This window comes from Homo sapiens, chromosome 1 (assembly GCF_000001405.40).
Source record: "Homo sapiens chromosome 1, GRCh38.p14 Primary Assembly".
In the NCBI taxonomy this organism is placed as follows: domain Eukaryota; kingdom Metazoa; phylum Chordata; class Mammalia; order Primates; family Hominidae; genus Homo; species Homo sapiens.
In genome coordinates this window covers 75,740,622-75,760,831 of record NC_000001.11, presented here as the reverse complement: position 1 = coordinate 75,760,831, position 20,210 = coordinate 75,740,622, and the positions used below count along the sequence as shown (strand labels likewise).

At 41.0% G+C, this 20,210-nt stretch overlaps 1 protein-coding gene and 1 pseudogene across 6 annotated transcripts in view, besides 1 other annotated feature; one reads left to right on the top strand and one right to left on the bottom strand.

The window, feature by feature from the left end:
• The window catches only part of ACADM (acyl-CoA dehydrogenase medium chain), a 38,971-nt gene that overhangs the window by 2,848 nt on the left and 15,913 nt on the right, over nucleotides 1–20,210 (bottom strand). For all 5 annotated transcript variants that reach the window (NM_001127328.3, NM_001286043.2, NM_000016.6 and 2 more), the window contains 3 exons: nucleotides 14,918–15,026; nucleotides 11,273–11,413; nucleotides 10,286–10,381 (listed from right to left, as the gene is read on the bottom strand). In NM_001127328.3, the coding sequence (NP_001120800.1) occupies nucleotides 10,286–10,381; nucleotides 11,273–11,413; nucleotides 14,918–15,026 (346 nt within the window). The remainder of the gene's footprint in view (nucleotides 1–10,285; nucleotides 10,382–11,272; nucleotides 11,414–14,917; nucleotides 15,027–20,210) is intronic.
• Nucleotides 15,304–15,373: an enhancer, noted in NCBI's record as "active region_1205". NCBI's record gives its function as "activates an Ori minimal core promoter by ATAC-STARR-seq in GM12878 lymphoblastoid cells {active_cell/tissue: GM12878}" and the evidence as "EXISTENCE:reporter gene assay evidence [ECO:0000049][PMID:35858748]".
• On the top strand, nucleotides 15,819–18,830 carry DLSTP1 (dihydrolipoamide S-succinyltransferase pseudogene 1; annotated as a pseudogene). The gene has a single exon (NR_130749.1). The product of NR_130749.1 is annotated as a dihydrolipoamide S-succinyltransferase pseudogene 1 (transcript).

Genomic DNA, 20,210 nt, shown 5'->3' with positions numbered 1-20,210 from the left:
CCATGATCGAGAACAGGACATTAACACTGGTATAGTATTAACAACTAAACTATAAGCCTTACTCAAATCTGGTCAAGTTTTCTACTAATGTTCTTTTTCCACCATTATACGTTGAATTTAGTTATTTCTTCTTATTCTTTCCCAGGCTATTATAATTCCTCAATCCTTCCTTATCTTTTACGTCTTTGCACTTCTGAAGAATGTTGATTGGTTATTTTATGTAAAATGTCCTTCAATTTCAGTTTGCCTGATTTTTTTTTTTTTTTTTTTTTTTTTTTTTTTTTTTTGAGACAGGGTCTCACTTTGTTTTCCAGGCTGGAATGCAATGGCATGATCTCAGATCACTGCAGCCTCAACGACCCTCCCGCCTCAGCCCCCAAAGTAGCTGGGACTTTTCTTTTTTTTTTTCTGAGACAAAGTTTCACTCTTTTGCCCAGGCTGGGGTGAAGTGGTGCGTTATCGGCTCACTGCAACCTCTGCCCCCCAGGTTCAAGCGATTTTCCTGCCTCAGCCTCCCGAGTAGCTGGGCGTGTGCCACCACACCAGGCTTTTTTTTTTTTTTTTTTTGTATTTTTAGTAGAGACAGGGTTTCACCATGTTGGCCAGGCTGCTCAAACTCCTGATCGCAGGTGATCCACCCGCCTCAGCCTCCCAAAGTGCTAGGATTACAGGTGTGAGCCACCGCACTCGGCCTCTTTTTTTTCTTTTTAAATAGAGATGAGGTCCCTCCCTATGTTGCCCAGGCTGTTCCAGGCTGTTCTCAAACTCCTGGGCTCAAGGGATCCACCCACCTCGGCCTCCCAAAATGCTAGGATTACAGGTGTGATTCACCATACCCAGCCTCTGCTGGGACTTTCTAGAAGAAATTGCTGGCTGGGCACAGTGGCTTACACCTGTAATCCCAGCACTTTGAGAGGCCGAGGCGGGCAGATCACCTGAGGTTGGGAGTTTGAGACGAGCCTGACCAACATGGATAAACCCCGTCTCTACTAAAAATACAAAATTAGCCAGGCATGGTGGCACATGCTTGTAATACCAGCTACTCAGGAGGCTGAGGCAGAAGAATCGCTTAAACCTGGGAGGTGGAGGTTGTGGTGAGCCAAGATCACACCATTGCACTCCAGCCTGGGCAACAAAAGCAAAACTCTGTCTCAAAAAAAAAAAAAAAAAAAAAAGAAAGTTGCTACAGATAGAGAAAAATAATGTGGCACTGTATCAGATACCAAGACAGAGGAAAGGACAACTAAAAGATGCTTCTTAGACTCTAGAGGCTCAGAATTAAATAGAAGACATAAAACAAATACTTTCAATAAGGGATAGTAAGTGCTCTATGAGTTAGTTATATGGCCAAGATATGTTATAGGATGGAAATATGTTCCTGTTCCCTGGCATACAACTCCTAAATTCCTTGGGATCTCCAACGTGCTGTCTTTTGTCTGCTAGGTTCAGCGTGGTGCTGGTCACTGGAAAGACGATGGCAGGATTAGAGGGTTGGGAGTTTCAGCCCCAACCCTACAACCTCCAGGGAGGGGAGAGGGGCTACAAGTCAAGTTAAATCATCAATGACCAATGGTTTAATTAATCATGCCTATGTAATGAAGCCTCCATGAACACCCAAGAGTGTGTCCAGAGTTGGTTCCTTCCAGTGGGTTCTTGGTCTTGCTGACTTCAAGAATGAAGCCACAGACCTTCGCGGTGTTACAGCTCTTAAAGATGGTGTGTCTGGAGTTTGTTCCTTCAGATGTGTCCAGAGTTTCTTCCTTCCAGTGGGTTCGTGGTCTTGCTGACTTCAGGAATGAAGCCGCGGACCTCCGTGGCAAGTGTTACAGCTCTTAAAGGTGGTGTGGACCCAAAGAGTAAGCAGCAGCAAGATTTATTGTGAAGAGCAAAAGAACAAAGCTTCCACAGCGTGGAAAGGGACCAAAGCAGGTTGCCGCTGCAGGCTGGGGTGGCCAGTTTTTATTCCCTTATTTGTCCCCACCCATATCCTGCTGATTGGTCCATTTTACAGAGTGCTGGTTGGTCCATTTTACAGAGTGCTGACTGGTGCATTTACAATCCTTTAGCTAGACACAGAGCGCTGATTCGTGCATTTTTACACAGTGCTGATTGGTGAGTTTACAATCCTTTAGCTAGACACAGCACTGATTGGTGCATTTTTACAGAGCACTGATTGGTGTGTTTACAATCCTTTAGCTAGACAGAGAGTGCTGATTAGTGCATTTTTACAGAGTGCTGATTGGTGTGTTTACAATCATCTAGCTAGACAGACAAGTCCTCCAAGTCCCCACTCGACCCAGGAAGTCCAGCTGGCTTCACCTCTCAAGAGGACAGGGTTTGGAGAGCTTCCAGAGGTTCCTACAGGGTGAGATTCCCAGGGAGAGCATGGAAGCCATATGCATCTTCCCTCATACCTTACCCTGCACATCTCTTCATCTGTATCCTTTAAAATATCCTTCCTGGCTGGGCGTGGTGGCTCACACCTGTAATCCCAGCACTTTGGGACGCCAAGGTGGGTGGATCACCTGAGGTCAGGAGTTTGAGACCAGCCTGGCCAACATGATGAAACCCTGTCTCTACTTAAAAAACAAACAAACAAAAAAAGGCCAGGCATGGTGGCAGGTGCCTGTAATCCCAGCTATGTGGGAGGCTGAGGGAGGAGAATCAATTGAACCCAGGAGGCAGAGGTTGCAGTGAGCCAAGATTACGCCATTACACTCCAGCCTGGGCAACAAGAGGGAGACTCTGTATGAAAAAAATAATAATTAAAAAAAAAGTAAAAAAATTAGATATCCTTCCTAATAAACTGGTAAATGTGTTTCCCTGAGTTCTGTGAGCTGCTTTAGCAAATTACTGGAATTCACAGATGAGGTCATGGGAACCCCAACTTGAAGCCAGTCAGCCAGAAGTTCTGGAGTCCAGGACTTGCAACTAGGGGAAAAGAAGGGGCAGTCTTGTGAGACTAAGCCTGTGGGATCTGATGCTATCTCTGGGTAGGTAGTGTCAGAACTAAGTTGGAGGATACCCAGCTAGTGTCTGTTGCTTGGTGTGGGTGGGAAATCCTCCTACATCTTTGGTCATAGAAGTCTTTATAGCAGCATGATTTATAATCCTTTGGGTATATACCCAGCAATGGGATTGCTGGGTCAAATGGCATTTCTAGTTCTAGATCCTTGAGAAATTGCCACACTGTCTTCCACAATGGTTGAACTAGTTTACAGTCCCACCAACAGTGTAAAAGTATTCCTATTTCTCCACATCCTCTCCAGCACCTGTTGTTTCCTGACTTTTTAATGATTGCCATTCTAAATGATATGAGATGGTATCTCATTGTGGTTTTGATTTGCATTTCTCTGATGGCCAGTGATGATGAGCATTTTTTCATGTGTCTGTTGGATGCATAAATGTCTTCTTTTGAGAAGTGTCTGTTCATATCCTTCACCCACTTTTTGATAGGGTTGATTTTTTTCTTGTAAATTTGTTTGAGTTCATTGTAGATTCTGGATATTAGCCCTTTGTCAGATGGGTAGATTATAAAAATTTTCTCCCATTCTGTAGGTTGCCTGTTCACTCTGATGGTAGTTTCTTTTGCTGTGCAGAAACTCTTGAGTTTAATTAGATCCCAATTGTCAATTTTGGCTTTTGTTTCCATTGCTTCTGGTGTTTTAGACATGAAGTCCTTGCCCATGTCTATGTCCTGAATGGTACTGCCTAGGTTTTCTTCTAGGGTTCTTATGGTTTTAGGTCTAACATTTAAGTCTTTAATCCATCTTGAATTAATTTTTATATAAGGTAAGGAAGGGATCCAGTTTCAGCTTTCTACATATGGCTAGCCAGTTTTCCCAGCACCATTTATTAAATAGGGAATCCTTCCCCCATTTCTTGTGTTTGTCAGGTTTGTCAAAGATCAGATGGTTGTAGACATGTGGTATTATTTCCAAGGGCTCTATTCTGTTCCATTTGTCTATATATCTGTTTTGGTACCAGTACCATGCTGTTTTGGTTACTGTAGCCTTGTAGTATAGTTTGAAGTCAGGTAGCATGATGCATCCATCTTTGTTGTTTTGGCTTAGGATTGTCTGGGCAATGTGGGCTTTTTTGGTTCCATATGAACTTTAAAGTAGTTTTTTCCAATTCTGTGAAGAAAGTCATTGGTAGCTTGAAGGGGATGGCACTGAATCTATAAATTACCTTGGGCAATATGGCCATTTTCACGATATTGATTCTTCCTACCCATGAGCATGGAATGTTCTTCCACTTGTTTGTGTCCTCTTTTATTTCATTGAGTGGTGGTTTGTGGTTCTCCTTGAAGAGGTCCTTCACATCCCTTGTAAGTTGTATTCCTAGGTATTTTATTCTCTTTGAAGCAATTGTGAATGGGAGTTCACTCATGATTTGGCTCTCTGTGTGTTGTTGGTGTATAGGAATGCTTGTGATTTTTGCACATTGATTTTGTATCCAGAGACTTTGCTGAAGTTGCTTATCTGCTTAAGGAGATTTTGGGATGATATGATGGGGTTTTCTAAATAAACAATCATGACATGTGCAAACAGGGACAATTTGACTTCCTCTTTTCCTAACTGAATACCCTTTATTTCCTTCTCTTGCCTGACTGCCCTGGCCAGAGCTTCCAACACTATGTTGAAGAGGAGTGGTGAGAGAAGGTATCCCTGTCTTGTGCCAGTTTTCAAAGGGAATTCTTCCAGATTTTGCCCATTCAGTATGATATTGGCTGTGGGTTTGTCATAAATAGCTATTATTTTGAGATACATTCCATCAATACCTAGTTTATTGAGTTTTTAGCATGAAGAACTGTTGAATTTTGCTGAAGGCCTTTTCTGCATCTATTGAGATAATCATAAGTTTTTGTCGTTGGTTCTGTATGTGATGGATTACATTTATTGATTCAAGGTATGTTGAATCAGCCTTGCATCCCAGGGAGAAAGCTGACTTGATCGTGGTGGATAAGCTTTTTGATGTGCTGCTGGATTCAGTTTGCCAGTATCCTCCTTTAGCTCGGAGAAGTTTGTTATTACCAATCATCTGAAGCCTTCTTCTCTCAACTCGTCATTCTCCATCCAGCTTTCTTCCGTTGCTGGCGAGGAGCTGCATTCCTTTGGAGGAGAAGAGGCACTCTTGATTTGTAGAATTTTCAGCTTTTCTGCTCTGGTTTCTCCCCATCTTTGTGGGTTTATCTACCTTTGGTCTTTGGTGATGGTGACGTACAGATGCGGTTTTGGTGTGAATGTCCTTTCTGTTTGTTAGTTTTCCTTCTATCAGTCAGGACCCTCAGCTGCAGGTCTGTTGGAGTTTGCTGGAGGTCCACTCCAGACCCTCTTTGCCTGGGTATCACCAGCAGAGGCTGCAGAACTGCAAATATTGCAGAATGACAAACATTGCTGCCTGATTGTTCCTCTGGAAGCTTCGTCTCAGAGGGGCACCCGGACGTATGAGGTGTCAATCGGCCCCTACTGGGAGGTCTCTCCCAGTTAGGCTACTCAGGGGTCAGGGACCCACTTGAGGAGGCAGTCTGTCTGTTCTCAGATCTCAAACTCCATTCTGGGAGGACCACTACTCTCTTCAAAGCTTTCAGACAGGGAGGTTTAAGTCTGCAGAAGTTTCTGCTGCCTTTTGTTCAGCTATGCCCTGCCCCCAGAGGGGAGTCTACAGCAACAAGCAGGCCTCCTTGAGCTGCAGTGGGCTCCACCCAGTTCGAGCTTCCCGGCCACTTTGTTTACCTACTCAAGCCTCAGCAATGGCGGATGCCCCTCCCTGAGCCTTGCTGCCGCCTTGTAGTTTCATCTCAGACTGCTGTGCTAGCAGTGGGTGAGGTTCCATGGGTGTGGGACCCTCCAAGCCAGGCGCAGGATATAATCTCCTGGTGTGTTGTTTGCTAAGACTGTTGGAAAAGCGCAGTATTAGGGTGGGAGTGTCCTAGTTTTCCAGGTACCATCTGTCACAGTTTCCCTTAGCTAGGAAAGGGAATTCCCCGACCCCTTGCGCTTCCTGGGTGAGGTGATGACCTGCCCTGCTTCGGCTCATGCTCTGTGGGCTGCGCCCACTGTACGACAAATCCCAGTGAGATGAACCCGGTACCTCAGCTGGAAATGCAGAAATCACCCGTCTTCTGTGTCACTCATGCTGGGACCTGTAGACTGGAGTTGTTCCTATTCAGCCATCTTGGAACCCTTGGGCAGATCATTGTATATTTTCTAATACCACACATGAAATGGCTAAACAATTATTTAATTGTGGATTCCAAGAATAACCTGACCCTTTTCATTCATAATGCTATACATAGAGTACACAGACTGAAAGACAAGTGGCTGGACACGGTGGCTCACGCCTGTAATCCCAACACTGGGAGGCCAAGGTGGGTGGATCACAAGGTCAGGAGTTTAAGACCAGCCTGGCCAAGATGGTGAAACCTCATCTCTACTAAAAGTACAAAAGAAAATTAGCCGGGTGCAGTTGCGGGCACCTGTAAACCCAGCTACTCGGGAGGCTGAGGCAGGAGAATCACTTGAACCCCGGGGGCAGAGGTTGCAGGGAGCAGAGATCGCACCACTGCACTCCAGCCTGGGCAACAGAGTAAGACTCCGTCTCAAAAAAAAAAAAAAAACAAAAAACTGAAGTTTCAAAGGGCACACAAATGGGTTGAGAGACACCTAGCAAAGGAGTGACAAGGAATTACAGTGTCATATCACTGTACCTACCAATTAAAAATGAAAAACTAGGCCAGGCGCAGTCACTCATGCCTGTAATCCCAGCACTTTGGGAGACCAAGATGGGCGGATTACTCAAGCTCAGGAGTTCGAGACCAGCCTAGGTAACATGGCAAAACCCCATTTCTACAAAAAAAAAAAAAAAAAGCTGAGCATGGTGGCTCACACCTATAGTTCCAGCTACTCAGGAGGCTAAGGTAGGAGGATCACTTAAGCCAGGAGGCAGTGGTTGCAGTGAGCTGAGATCACACCATTGCACTCCAGCCTGGGCAATAGAGTGAGACCCTGTCTCAAAAAAAAAAAAAAAAAAAGAAGCTATCAGCATTTTGCAGAGTGCTTAAAAGATAAGCAAATCTTCAGTAGAAATCAAATGATAAAAGACTATTTTGAGTTAAGCAGTAAGGAAAAACTAAGATTTTTCAATATTTAATAAGAAAAAAATCTTTAGAATTTATAAGAAAGAGAACATAAAAGGAGAAGATTCTATATTGAGTTGAAAGCCAAAAATACAGTTATCATCAGATACTTGGGTAAGGAGGACCTGGAAGACGATGACAGATCTTCACTGAAAAGCATTAGGTTGAAATTTGTTTATGAATAAGATAAACTAACATTTAGTAAAATGTACATATGTAGTTCTGGCAACATGAAGGAGTTAACAAAGAAATACTTGGTTAAGAAAAAAAAAAAGCTCATAGGAAAGAAACAGAAATCTCTAAGTGCCTCTAAAAAGGAATTTAAATCCTGAGAAGAGATAACATGGAGGAAAAGAAAAATCAGACTCAGATTTGGGCTCAGCAGGATAGGAACCAGAGTTTTAAGAAACACATAAGAACAGGAGATTTCGATGTGAGCATGAACAATCTAAGGGGCTAAAACTGAGAATCACTGCATGTAAAAGCTTTGCTTTCCAAAGGGGCAATTAAAAGTCTGGGCTCATCAGCATAGGAGGGCCACAAAGAAGCTGATCTCTTGCCCAGGAGGGTTAAAAAAAGAACAAGAAAAAAAAGGACTTTTGTTATTGTTGTTGTTTTGAGACAGGGTCTCACACTGTTGCCCAGACTGGAATGTACGGAGTTTCTTAATGTGTGAGATCAATGTACGAGCTCTGTGATACAGGATTCTCCAAGTCAAGAAATTAATGTAAAATAACAGCTCTTAGAATGGTGAAATCTCTGGAGTACCTAACAAAAGTGCCAAAAAAGTACAAAAGCCAATTTCTAAAATGCTTCCATAATGCTCTGAGAAATAGAGTACTTCCTGCAGGTAAGTTGTTTACAAATAAAAAATAAAAGCAAAATAATTGACCATAAAAGAGTTAGAAGACACAATACACCTTGAAAGATTAGCACCCAAAGAATTGAAGATAACAAAAAAATCTGAAATTGATTATAAATGAAGAATTTTTACATGATTAATGAGAAAAAAGGAAAAGGCGGTATGATGTTGAACAGAAGGTATAATGGAAAAAACCAAATATAACTTCTGGAAATGAAAAGTAGTCATTAATAAAAAATCAACAGATTAAATAGATTAGGCACAAGATAAGAGAACTAGAAAGCAGATCTGAAAAAATTATCTAGAATATAGTGTAGAAAGATACATTATGAAACTAAGGTTAAGGGACACAGAGCAGTGCTAATCCAAGTTTGTCCACAGTGCCAATTCACAAACTGTTACTGGTTGATGGTACAGAAGATGAGAATAAGCATTTAGACACTTTTACAGCAATTTAACATTGTTGTGACATTCTTATATTTTACAAAAATAATGGTCCACATTAACTGGAAATTAAAACAAACTGGTCTTTCACCACAAATAGTTTGAGAACCACTGACAAATGGAGATAGGAATAGGAGGCTCATGGGGGGCTGAGGTGGAAAGATTGCTTGAGCTCAGGTGTTTGAGACCAGTCTGGGCAACATAGTGAGACCTCATCTCTACAAAAATAAAAAAATTAGGCAGGCATGGTAGTGTGCCCCTATAGTTCCAGTTATTTAGGAGGCTGAGGTGGGAGGATTGCTTGATCCCAAGAGGCTGCAATAAGCCATGACTGCACCATTGCACTCGCATTTGGGCAACCAAGACCCTGTCTCAAAAAAAAAAAAAAAGAGAAATAGGAGGTTCACTATACAACTCATAGTGAGTTGCAGGAAAGAATACAGATAATGGGGGAGCATCAATATTTAAAGGGGTAAGAGTTAAGAATTACCCTGGAAATTCATGGAAGACACGACTCTTTATAGTACTAAAATTATCTGATACTCAAGAGGACATGGGAAGTAACAAGAATTAAGAGTATAACATAGGCCAGGCGCAGTGGTTCAGGCCTGTAATCCTAGCACTTTGGGAGGCCGAGGCAGGCAGATCACTTGAGGCCAGGAGTTCAACACCAGCCTGGCCAACATAAGGGAACCCCATCTCTACTAAAAATATCAAAATTTGCTGGGTGTGGTGGTGTGTGCCTGTAGTCCCAGCGACTCGGGAGGCTGAGGCAGGAGAATCACTTGAACACAGGAGGTGGGGGTTTCAGTGAGCCCAGATCATGCCACTGTACTTCAGCTTGGACGACAGAGCAAGACTTTGTCTCCCACCCCCCGCAAAAAAAAAAAAGCAAGGATCCTGGATCTGTGACTTATAAATTGTGTGGCCTTGGACAAATCATTTAATACCTCTGAGCTTCAGTTTCTTGATCCTTAAAAGAGATAACACCACCCAAAAAAGGGTTACTGAGAGAATCAGAAAATATATATATATTTTCTTTTTTGAGACGGAGTCTCACTCTGTCGCCCAGGCTGGAGTGCAGTGGCGTGATCTTGGCTCACTGCAAGCTCTGCCTCCTGGGTTCACGCCATCCTCCTGCCTCAGCCTCCCGAGTAGCTGGGACTACAGGCGCCCACCACCATGCTCGGCTAATTTTTGTATTTTTAGTAGAGACGGGGTTTCACCGTGTTAGCCAGGATGGTCTTGATCTCCTGACCTCATGATCCGCCCGCCTCAGCCTCCCAAAGTGCTGGGATTACAGGCGTGATCCACCGCGCCCGGCTAGAAAATATATTTAAAATGCATAGCACAAGGCCGGGCCCAGTGGCTCATGCCTGTAATCCCAGCACTATGGGAGGCTGAGGCGGGCAGATCGAGACCAGCCTGGCCAACATAGTGAAACCCCATCTCTACTAAAAATACAAAAATTAGCCAGGCATAGTGGTGCGCACCTGTAGTTCCCACTACTTGGGAGGCTGAGGCAGGAGAATTACTCGAACTCGGGAGGCGGAGACTGTGGTGAACCGAGATTGTGCCACTGCACTCTAGCCTGAGCAACAGAGCGAGACTCCATCTCAAAAAAAAAAAAAAATGCATAGCACAGTGTCAGGTTCAGAAGTAACCAATAGTGGCACACTCTAAAAAGAAATGTCTTTGAAACTCATCTTGATAAAACCACATTATCTTCTTGCTATCAAAGTAGAAATTGATTAGTTTGTGGTTTAAAAATCATTTCTAAATATTAAATGAAAATGAGTGTCTTTACATTTGAACAAAGCAAGCAGTATTAAAATTACCTCTACAAGTAGCTTTCCGAAAGTTTTCCTTTCCAGGGCATACTTGGTAGCTTCATCCAAAGCTCTTTGTGCTAATCCAACAGCACCAGCAGCTACCTAGTATTTTAAGATATTATAAAGCAAAAGTTCATGTTATCTTTAAAACACACAATATCTGCCTAAGTGTCTATGTTAGGGAGTGTACAAAGAGAAGGTGATGTACAGCAACAAGAAACTGGTGGGGAACAGGGAATAGGCACGTAAGTTTATATTATTTGTTAATTAAAGGTAGTAAGAGGCATTTGTTAGGCATAGTATCATACTCTAGAAAAAAGTCATTGCTTTTGTTTAACAAGAGAAATCTTACTAGGGGAAATGTTCTTAATGAGTAAAAACAGAAAATGAGTACATATTAACAGGATGATCATATTTAGGGTGGACTGCCTCTCTAAATCTAGCACCAACTACAGTAATTTTGCAGTTGCTAAAATAATTTCTATAATGTATAGTAAGAAAACTTGAAGAATTATTTAAAAAATTAAGAAAAGTAACAATATGGTCAGGCGCGGTGGCTCACGCCTGTAATCCCAGCACTTTGGGAGGCCGAGGTAGGCAGATCACGAGGTCAAGAGATCGAGACCATCCTGGCCAACATCATGAAACCCCATCTCTACTAAAAATACAAAAATTAGCTGGGCAGAGTGGTGTGCACCTGTAGTCCCAGCTACTCATGAGGCTAAGGCAGGAGAATCTCTTGAACCCAGGACGTGAAGGTTGCAATGAGCTGAGATTGCACCACTGCACTCCATCCTGGTGACAGAGTGAGACTCTGTCTCAAAAAAAAAAAAAAAAAAAGAAAGAAAAGTAACAGTATTTTTCCTATATCCTTAATAAAATAAGCAGATATTAAAAAGAGAAACACACTGAACATACAATTTTAAAGTAAAAATACTTATTTAATGTAATAAATAAAAGATCCTATAAAGATTATGAACCCATATTACTTACTACAGGTCTGGTTTTATCAAAAGCTCCCATTGCAACTTTGAAACCAGCTCCGTCACCAATTAAAACATTTTCTTTAGGCACTTTCACATCTTCGAAGACAATTCCTCTAGTATCTGAACATCGCTGGCCCATGTTTAATTCCTAATAAGAAAATTGATATATTTTAAGGAATTTTTTTTGAGCCAGCATCAATTTTTGCTTTAATCACTGTTTCATGACTTTCTGCAATTACCTAAAACAGGGATCAACAAACTGTAGTCTGCAATGCCTGTTTTGCAAAGAAAGCCTGATTGGAATACAGTCACGCCTATTTGTTCATATATCATCTACAGTTACTTTCTTGCTACAATGGCAGAACTGAGTAGTTGTGACAGAGATATGGCCTGCAAAGCCTGAAATATTTATAATTTGGATCTTTACAAAAAAATTTGCCAACCATAATCTAAAACAATGTTTCACAAATTTTGAAACCAACACTAGTCTAAAGGTCTACAAGTACATCTTATCAACAAAGACAAATCTCATTATATGTTTGAAAGCTATCTATTTTACCATGTCAGAAAAAACATTTAGTAAACACAATCTGATTTGAGACCTTTAATCTTAATAGAGCTAGTAAAATAATCTACTGAATAAAAATTGATTTTGTTTTCCTTTGACTCTGTTAAAATTAGGTTTACTGAGGTATAATTTACATGTAGAAAAGTCACCATTTTTATGTATACATTTCTAATAGCTCTGACAAATGTATATGTGTGTAACCACCACCATGCTCAAGATACAGAGTACTTTAGAACCCCAAAAAGTTACCTTGTTCTCCCTTTATAGTCAATTTCCTTATTCTACACTTATCCCCTGGCAACCACTGTGTGATTTCTCTCCGCGTAGTCTTTCCTTTTCCAGAATGTCATTTAAGTGAAATAATAAAGTCCGCTTTCTGTGTCTGACTTTTCACTTAGTATAGTGCTTCTGAGATTCATCCATGTTGCTGCATGATCAATAATTCATTTATTTTACTGCTAAGTAGTATCCCACTCTTGGATGTACCATATATCCATTATCTTTTCACTAGTTGACGGATACTCCCCTCCTTTTTAGCAATCATTAATAAAATTACAATAAACATTTGTATATAGGTCTTTATTTTCATTTCTCTTGGGTATTTATTTAAGGGCACTGGTTATGTGATAAGTGTATGTTTGACTTTATAAGAAACTACTAAACTAGCTACATTCCCTCAACTTTTTGTTTTAAAAATTTTCAAACCAATGGAGGAGTTGTAACAGGCATGTAAGTACTTATACACCCTTCATCTATAATAGATTCACCAATTGTTAACATTTTGATACATTTGCTTTATTTTTTATTTCTCTTTCTCTTTGTATATGACTATTAGTGTTATGCTAAATCATGAGAGGAAGTTGCAGACATAACTCTTAATAAGGAAAAAAACTTGATCTCATGTTTAATAAGCAGAATAAGAAACAGGAGCAATGGAAACAAAGAGCTATAAACTAACCCTTTAATTTGCTGGTTTTAATAGTCTGCTTCTGAGTTTGAAGAAATAATAACGATAGTTTGACCTAGAAAGAAGCCAACATCCCTTTATTTTGTCTTTAAAAGTTAATAAACTAGAATCTTGGACCACCATGCATATATAATGAGAAAACACCCTACCAGATTTATCCCAAACCCCACAACATTTAAAACCAAAATGCTTCCTGGGCTCATCTCAAACCATATAATTTCTAAAACACAAAAGATTTGAAAACATTAGGTCTCACTCTGTCATCCAGGCTGCAGTACAGACAGCAACAGGAGCATGGCTCACTGCAGCCTTGACTTCCTGGGCTTAGGTGATCCTCCCACTTCAGCCTTCCAAGTAGCTGGGACTACAGGTGTGCGCCACTGCCACTGGCTAATTTTCAAATTTTTTTGTAGAGGTAAAGTCTCAATATGTTGCCCAGGCTGGTCCTGAACTCCTGGGTTCAAATAGTTCTCCCACCTCAACCTCCCAAAGTGCTAGGATTACAGTCATGAACCACCAAACCTGGCCTGAAAACATTAAATTTCACAAATTTGTAAATATCCATTTGTTTCAATAAAGATTTAAGGAGGCTTAAATATACACAATATAATTATCTCTATCACTCACCAGAAAGTAATTTACCTAAGGCCAGGGATTTTTGTCTATTTTGATCCATACTGTATCCCTAATAGATAGAATACTGTATATAGTATGCACTACATAAATATTTATTGAAGTAGATTTTTTTTTAAGTGAGAAAATTAGGCAAAGAAAAAAACTAGAAATAGCAAGATAAAATCAGGAGTGAGTTTACTACTAAAAAAAGTATAAGCTGTTAGGTCCTTTATACTTTCTAAAGATGGGCCATACATTTGGCCAAGTTTGCTAGCAACTATCCCTAAGACAGAAACATGATCTGTTATACAAATAAAAAACAATTTCTTGGGAAAAGCACAATAATTTTTAATTCTTATATTTTGTTACATACAACAGTATCATCTGTTTTGTCAAGTGCAGTCTACCTTTAATATCTGATTGAAAATATAGCACAATACAGTATCAGAAACTATACTGGGTAAGGTCCTAGGATACCTTCATATTGATTTCAACTCTGCCTCTAACTTTGGGACTTTGGTTGGGCGCAGTGGCTCATGCCTGTAATCCCAGCACTTTAGGGGGCCAAGGTGGGAGGATTGCTTGAGCCCAGGAGTCTGAGACCAGCCTGGGCAACACAGCACAACCCTGTCTCTACAAAAAATACAAAAATTAGCCAGGTGTGGTGGTGCATGCCAATAATCCTAGCCACTCAGGAGGCTGAGGTGGGATGATTGTTTGAGCCCAGGAGGCAGAGGTTGCAGTGAGCTGAGATCCTGCCACTGCACTCCAGCCTGGGCAACAGAGCGAGACGCTGTCTCAAAAAAAAAAAAAAAAAATTACTTTATTGACTTCATTTCTTTCCTTCTTTATAAAATTTATAATTTTAAATTGTGATTTATAAAATTTTAAACTCTTTTCTCTTTAGTCTACTTTAAATGCCAAATTTATCTCCACATATTCAGAATACAAACCTTTTCAAATATGTTAAATTACCTTTTCTTATTTAAGTAAGATTTTCTTGCCTTTCCATATTCAAGGCTATTTGCTATTTTCTACACTCTTTTCAGGCATAGACTTTTTTCTTAGTGTTGTATGACCTAGTAAAATCTCAGTTATGTCACATTGTTTTTATCTGTAAAATGGGCATAATGCCACTTATCCTACCAAAAGGTTGCTGTGAGGATCCAATGGGGAAAAGAGTGGGAAAGTCCCTTGAAATATCCAGAATTCTTATTATTGGTCAGGTAATATAAATGATAGCTTGATTTTACTTCATTATTCCTCACAGCTGTTATTAGCCTTCTCCACAGGTTGGTACTACTCTTTCAAAATGACTTGAAATGACTGTTCACAAAATCTTCAGTAGTATATAGACTATTTGATCTAATATCATCAAAACATAGCTTTATTTTTACTCCAACTTAATACAAACAAATGTTTTTATTAAAGGAAAGTTAAGTAATTTTGCAATTTATAATTAAAATAATATTTGGGGCCCTAATCATTAATAAATACTTTACCTTTCTCCCAATCTGAATTCCTGGGGTATCTGCTTCCACAATGAATCCAGTAAAGGCTTTATTAGCAGGAGCTTTAGGATCTGGATCAGAACGTGCCAATAAAAAATACCTAAGAGATACACATACCGGATAATGGTGATAATATCGGCAAATAACACATGGTGATTGCTCTCTCAGTTAATTCTCTTAACAATCCCAATTATTATTACCTACATTTTACAAATGAGGAAATAAATAATCAGGTTTAAAAACTTGCCTAGTCACGTACCTAGTATATGGAAGAGCTAGTATTTGAGGTCTATGTCTTAATAACACAGTAGGCCCTCCCCCATTCCATGGGGTTTCACTTTCTGTGGTTTCAGTTACCCGCAGTACAGTATATATGATATTTTGAAAGACAAAGAGGACATTTACATAACTTTTTTTTTTTAGACAAGATCTCACTCTGTTGCGCAGGCTGGAGTACAGTGGCATGATCTTGGCTCACTGCAGTCTCGACTTCCCCAGCTCAAGCCATCCTTCCACCTCTTCTGAGTCACTGGTACTATGGGCATGTGCCACCATGCCTAGCTAATTTTTTGTTTATTTTTTGTAGGGATGAAGTCTCACTACCTTTCCCAGGCTGGTCTCAAACTCTTGGACTCAAGGGATCTTCCCACGTGGGCCTTCTAAAGTGCTGGGATTACAGGTGTGAGCCACCATGCCTGGCCTACATTTACATAACTTATTACAATACATTGTTATAGTTCTATTTTATTAGTTGTTGTTAATCTCTTGCTGGGCCCACTTTATAGATTAAACTTTATAATAAGTATATATGTGTAGGAAAAAAACATAGTATATACAGGGTTTGGTATTTCTGAGGTTTCAGGCATCCATTAGGGGTCCTGGAATGTATCCTGCAAGGATAAGGAGGGACTATAGTATGCTATTTAACTTTCTTTTAGTAATATGAGTTGCAAGTAAAAATTCCTGGTATAGTATTATTATTACAACAAGACAGTCTATGCCTGTTGAAACTGGCACTTTTTCTTTCCCAAAACTAATTTTATTCTTTAAGGGGCATGCTATCTTGAAAAGGAGGGCAAATAGAGCTGCCTGTGAAAAGGAATAATATAAAACGGAGACCCGGCCGCCGTGATGCTGTCCCGGTCCCACTGTGTCCCGGGCGTTCAGCCACTCGCTCTCTGCCTTCCAGAAGGGGAACTGCCCTCTAGGGAGACATTCCCTGCCTGGGGTCTCCTTATGCCAGGGACCAGGTTACCCTAACAGCAGGAAGGTTGTCATTAACAACAGTGTCTTCAGTGTTCGCTTCTTCAGAACTACAACTGTATGCAAGTATGACTTGGTTACAGTCAAAACCCCAGCGTTTGCAGAACCTGTCACAGAGGGAGATGTCAGGTGGGAGAAAGCTGTTGGAGACACAGTTGCAGAAGATGAAGTGGTTTGTGAGATTGAAACTGACAAGACATTGGTGCAGGTTCCATCACCAGCAAATGGCATGATTGAAGCTCTTTTCGTACCTGATGGGGGAAAAGTCGAAGGAGGCACTCCGCTTTTCACACTCAGGAAAACTGGTGCTGCTCCTGCTAAGGCCAAGCCGGCTGAAGCTCCTGCTGCTGCAGCCCCAAAAGCAGAACCTATAGCAGCGGCAGTTCCTCCCCATGCAGCACCCATACCCACTCGATGCCACCAGTGCCCTCGCCCTCACAACCTCCTTCTAGCAAACCTGTGTCTGCAGTAAAACCCACTGCTGTCCCACCACTAGCTGAGCCAGGAGCTGGCAAAGGTCTGCATTCAGAACATCAGGAGAAAATGAACAGGATGCGGCAGTGCATTGCTCAGCGTCTGAAGGAGGCCCAGAATACATGTGCCAATGCTGACAATTTTTAATGAGATTGATGTGAGTAACATCCAGAAGATGAGGGCTCGGCACAAAGAGGCTTTTTTGAAGAAACATAACCTCAAACTAGGCTTCATGTCGGCATCTGTGAAGGCCTCAGCCTTTGCCTTGCAGGAACAGCCTGTTGTAAACGCAGTGATTGATGATATAACCAAAGAGGTGGTATATAGGGATTATATTGACATCAGTGTTGCAGTGGCCACCCCACAGGGTCTGGTGGTTCCAGTCATCAGGAATGTGGAAGCTATGAATTATGCAGATATTGAACAGACCATCACTGAACTGGGAGAGAAGGCCCGAAAGAATGAATTTGCCATTGAAGATATGGATGGTGGTACCTTCACCATTAGCAATGGAGGTGTTTTTGGCTCACTCTTTGAACACCCATTATCAACCCCCCTGTCTGCCATCCTGGGGATGCATGGCATCTTTGACAAGCCAGTGGCTATAGGAGGCAAGGTAGAGGTGCAGCCCATGATGTACGTGGCACTGACCTATGATCACCGGCTGATTGATGGCAGAGAGGCTGTGACTTTCCTCCGCAAAATCAAGGCAGCGGTAGAGGATCCCAGAGTCCTCCTCTTTGATCTTTAGGAGGAACCCACACACCCTACAAATTGATCATGCAGGAACTGAAAACCAGTCTTCTCCCTGTCCCCTCATGGGTCCCAGGTTAGCCTGGTGACAGGCACATGCTGTTGGCCTCAAGCAAGGAAGCAGAGCACTATGTAACCAGCAGTCACAGCTTTTTTCTTGGTGTTCCTGCCTGGCTCTCTCCCTCTCTGCACCTGTCTCATACCCTCGAATATCTTAATTCCTTAGGCTTGAGAGAGAGAGCCTTAATGGATGCTCATTCATATTCCTGCCTTTCTTCCATCAGCTCTCTGCAAAGATGATTTTGCTTCTCCCTAGTGCTGGTATACTATAGAGAAACCCCCGAGGACCATGTGATTAAGTTCCTATCTTTTGAAAGTTTGTTCTGCAGAGACATCTAGGAGGATGCTGTGCCTCCCAAGCTCAGAGCAGCCTCTGTCCTGGCTGTGCACATTCTCGATTCCACTTGTATGGAGGGATTGAACACAGGCAAAGAGGTGCTGCTTTCCTTCTTCAATGGCACCTTCATTCTCCATTGTCATTGACTTCAAGATGCCTCTTCTACCTCTACCAGGAAGCACAGGCCAGGGGATCTGGGTGTGTGAATGGGAGGAGAGAGCAGAGGTTCCCTGAGGTCACGTGTTGTAATCATCATAGAAGGAGAGCCCAGGTCTGCCCTCACGCTCTCCATCATAGGCTCACACCAAGAAGACTCATCTTGGCACAATCTCACACAGCTGGGGCTGTAGCAACCCTTTCCTGGTTGCTGGGCCTCATTCTAGCACCTTGTTCTTACTTAGAGCAGATTCTAGCACATCATGGCAGTGGAACCAAGCGTAGTCCCGAAGAAGGGCCAGAGCCTGGTAGAGATTAGGGAAGGGAGGTCTCCTCTAGACTCAGATTGCCTTGAGCTTTTCAAGTAAGTTGCTGTAAGCCCGTGGGCTGAGGAGGCAGTTCTTGTTCCTTCCTGCGTTATAGTGGGGCCTTGTCTCTTCCTCTGCAGGACACAGATTTGGAGGACGTGGACTGGGGTAGGAAACCACCCTGAGGGTGTTAGTAGATAGTGGTGTAATGGATGAGGTCATTTCTAAGATGTGTTGCCGGTGGATCTGGGCACAATCATTGGAATTCCTTGGAGCTACTGGGATTCATGGCTTTGTATCCAACTGCATCCAGGCCTGAGGCTGCTGACATTTGACACTAGGGCCAGTAGAGAGTGCCTTTTTGTATCTTGAGCCAAGAAGTGAGGCCTGGGGGTGGGGAGGGGGGAAGGGGTGGGAGCCAATACTGAGTGCCTGCAGCATCTACTACTCTGTCTTCACTATTCAGAACTTGTAACTAAAGTATTTAAAGAAACTGATTTTAAATGCAAATTAAAGGGCAGATGTTCTCAAAAAAATAAATAAATAAAATGGAGATCCATATGTTCCAACTACTGTTTCTTTATGCAGCAAGTCAGTGTTTTTGTTATAGCTGAGTTATTATGAATATTTGCTGATTTTTTCCTACAGAAGAATTTCTCAGAAAGATCTTGAAGTGCAACATAAGAAAAAAATGCAAATATCCAAGCATCTGTCTAATTCATGTTCTATATATCCTGGTACACGAAAAATTCTTTTAAAAAGGTATATTCTTCCCTAAACAACACAAACTTATTTTCTTTGGTTAAAACCAATACATTACCACTCATTCTATAGTTTTATTTAATAATAGTAACAAAATCGTAAAAATTGTTATCTGGTTTCATATATTACCTAATTTGCCTTACTATATGAACAGTGAACAGTTGTAATCAGTTCTTTCTTTTTGTTTTAATTTTGTAAAGATGGGGTCTCGTTATGTTGCCCAAGCTGGTCTTGAACCCCTGGGCTCAAGCAATCCTCCTGCCTCAGCCTCCAAAACTGCTGGGATTGTAGACGTGAGTGATTGCACCTGGCTAATCCGTTTTTAAAATTACGAAAACTTCAAACTGCATTGTTAGATTTCTCTCAACTTGTTAAATTTTAATAGTTTCTTCACTTTTTATTAGTTGCTGATATTACCAGGAATTGGTTAAAGGTAAAGATATAGCACTCCATAATACTGAATATATTTAGGATGCTCATAAGGAATTGACTGATATGTTTAATCTAAGTAACTTTTTAGTAGGCTCACTCTGAAAAAAAATGATGTTTTATTTGCTAGAAAACTGTAGTATATGGCACACAAATATATTGAATCTGAATTTTTTACAAAGAGAGACAGGTCATTTAGTACATTATTCCAATCAATAAAAAGTTATTCTAGAAACTCTCTATATACTTGTAGTGATGGGTAAATACAGTATTTCCCATGACAACTTAACAGCACTGCTGATAGAAAGCCTGTCCTTATGTTAAGCTAAATTCTACATTTTTCTAACTTTCACTCATTAATTCTAAGCTGGCATCCTGAAGTAAACATATAAGCCTGATCATCTTTCTGTGTAATAATATTTGAAAAACTTCAAGATTCTTCCAAAATAACCAAGGCTTTGCTTTTCAGAACATGTTTTGTAGGCTCCTCCTAATGCAAGATACTTACATGCTTCTAGATTTAGTCAAGTTTTTCAATACATGTTTTAAAATGTGTTGCCCAGAACTGTCACCATTTTTTCTCTATTTGATGCTGTACTTCTATTACTTTGGCTTAAAATTACATTGGCTTTTTAAAGGCTCATACTATTGATTCTTATTGAACTTAACAGTTATTGAACTTTCCTCATCTTTTATCAACAAATAATCGAGTGTTTTTTTTTAGTATTTTATATTTATACAA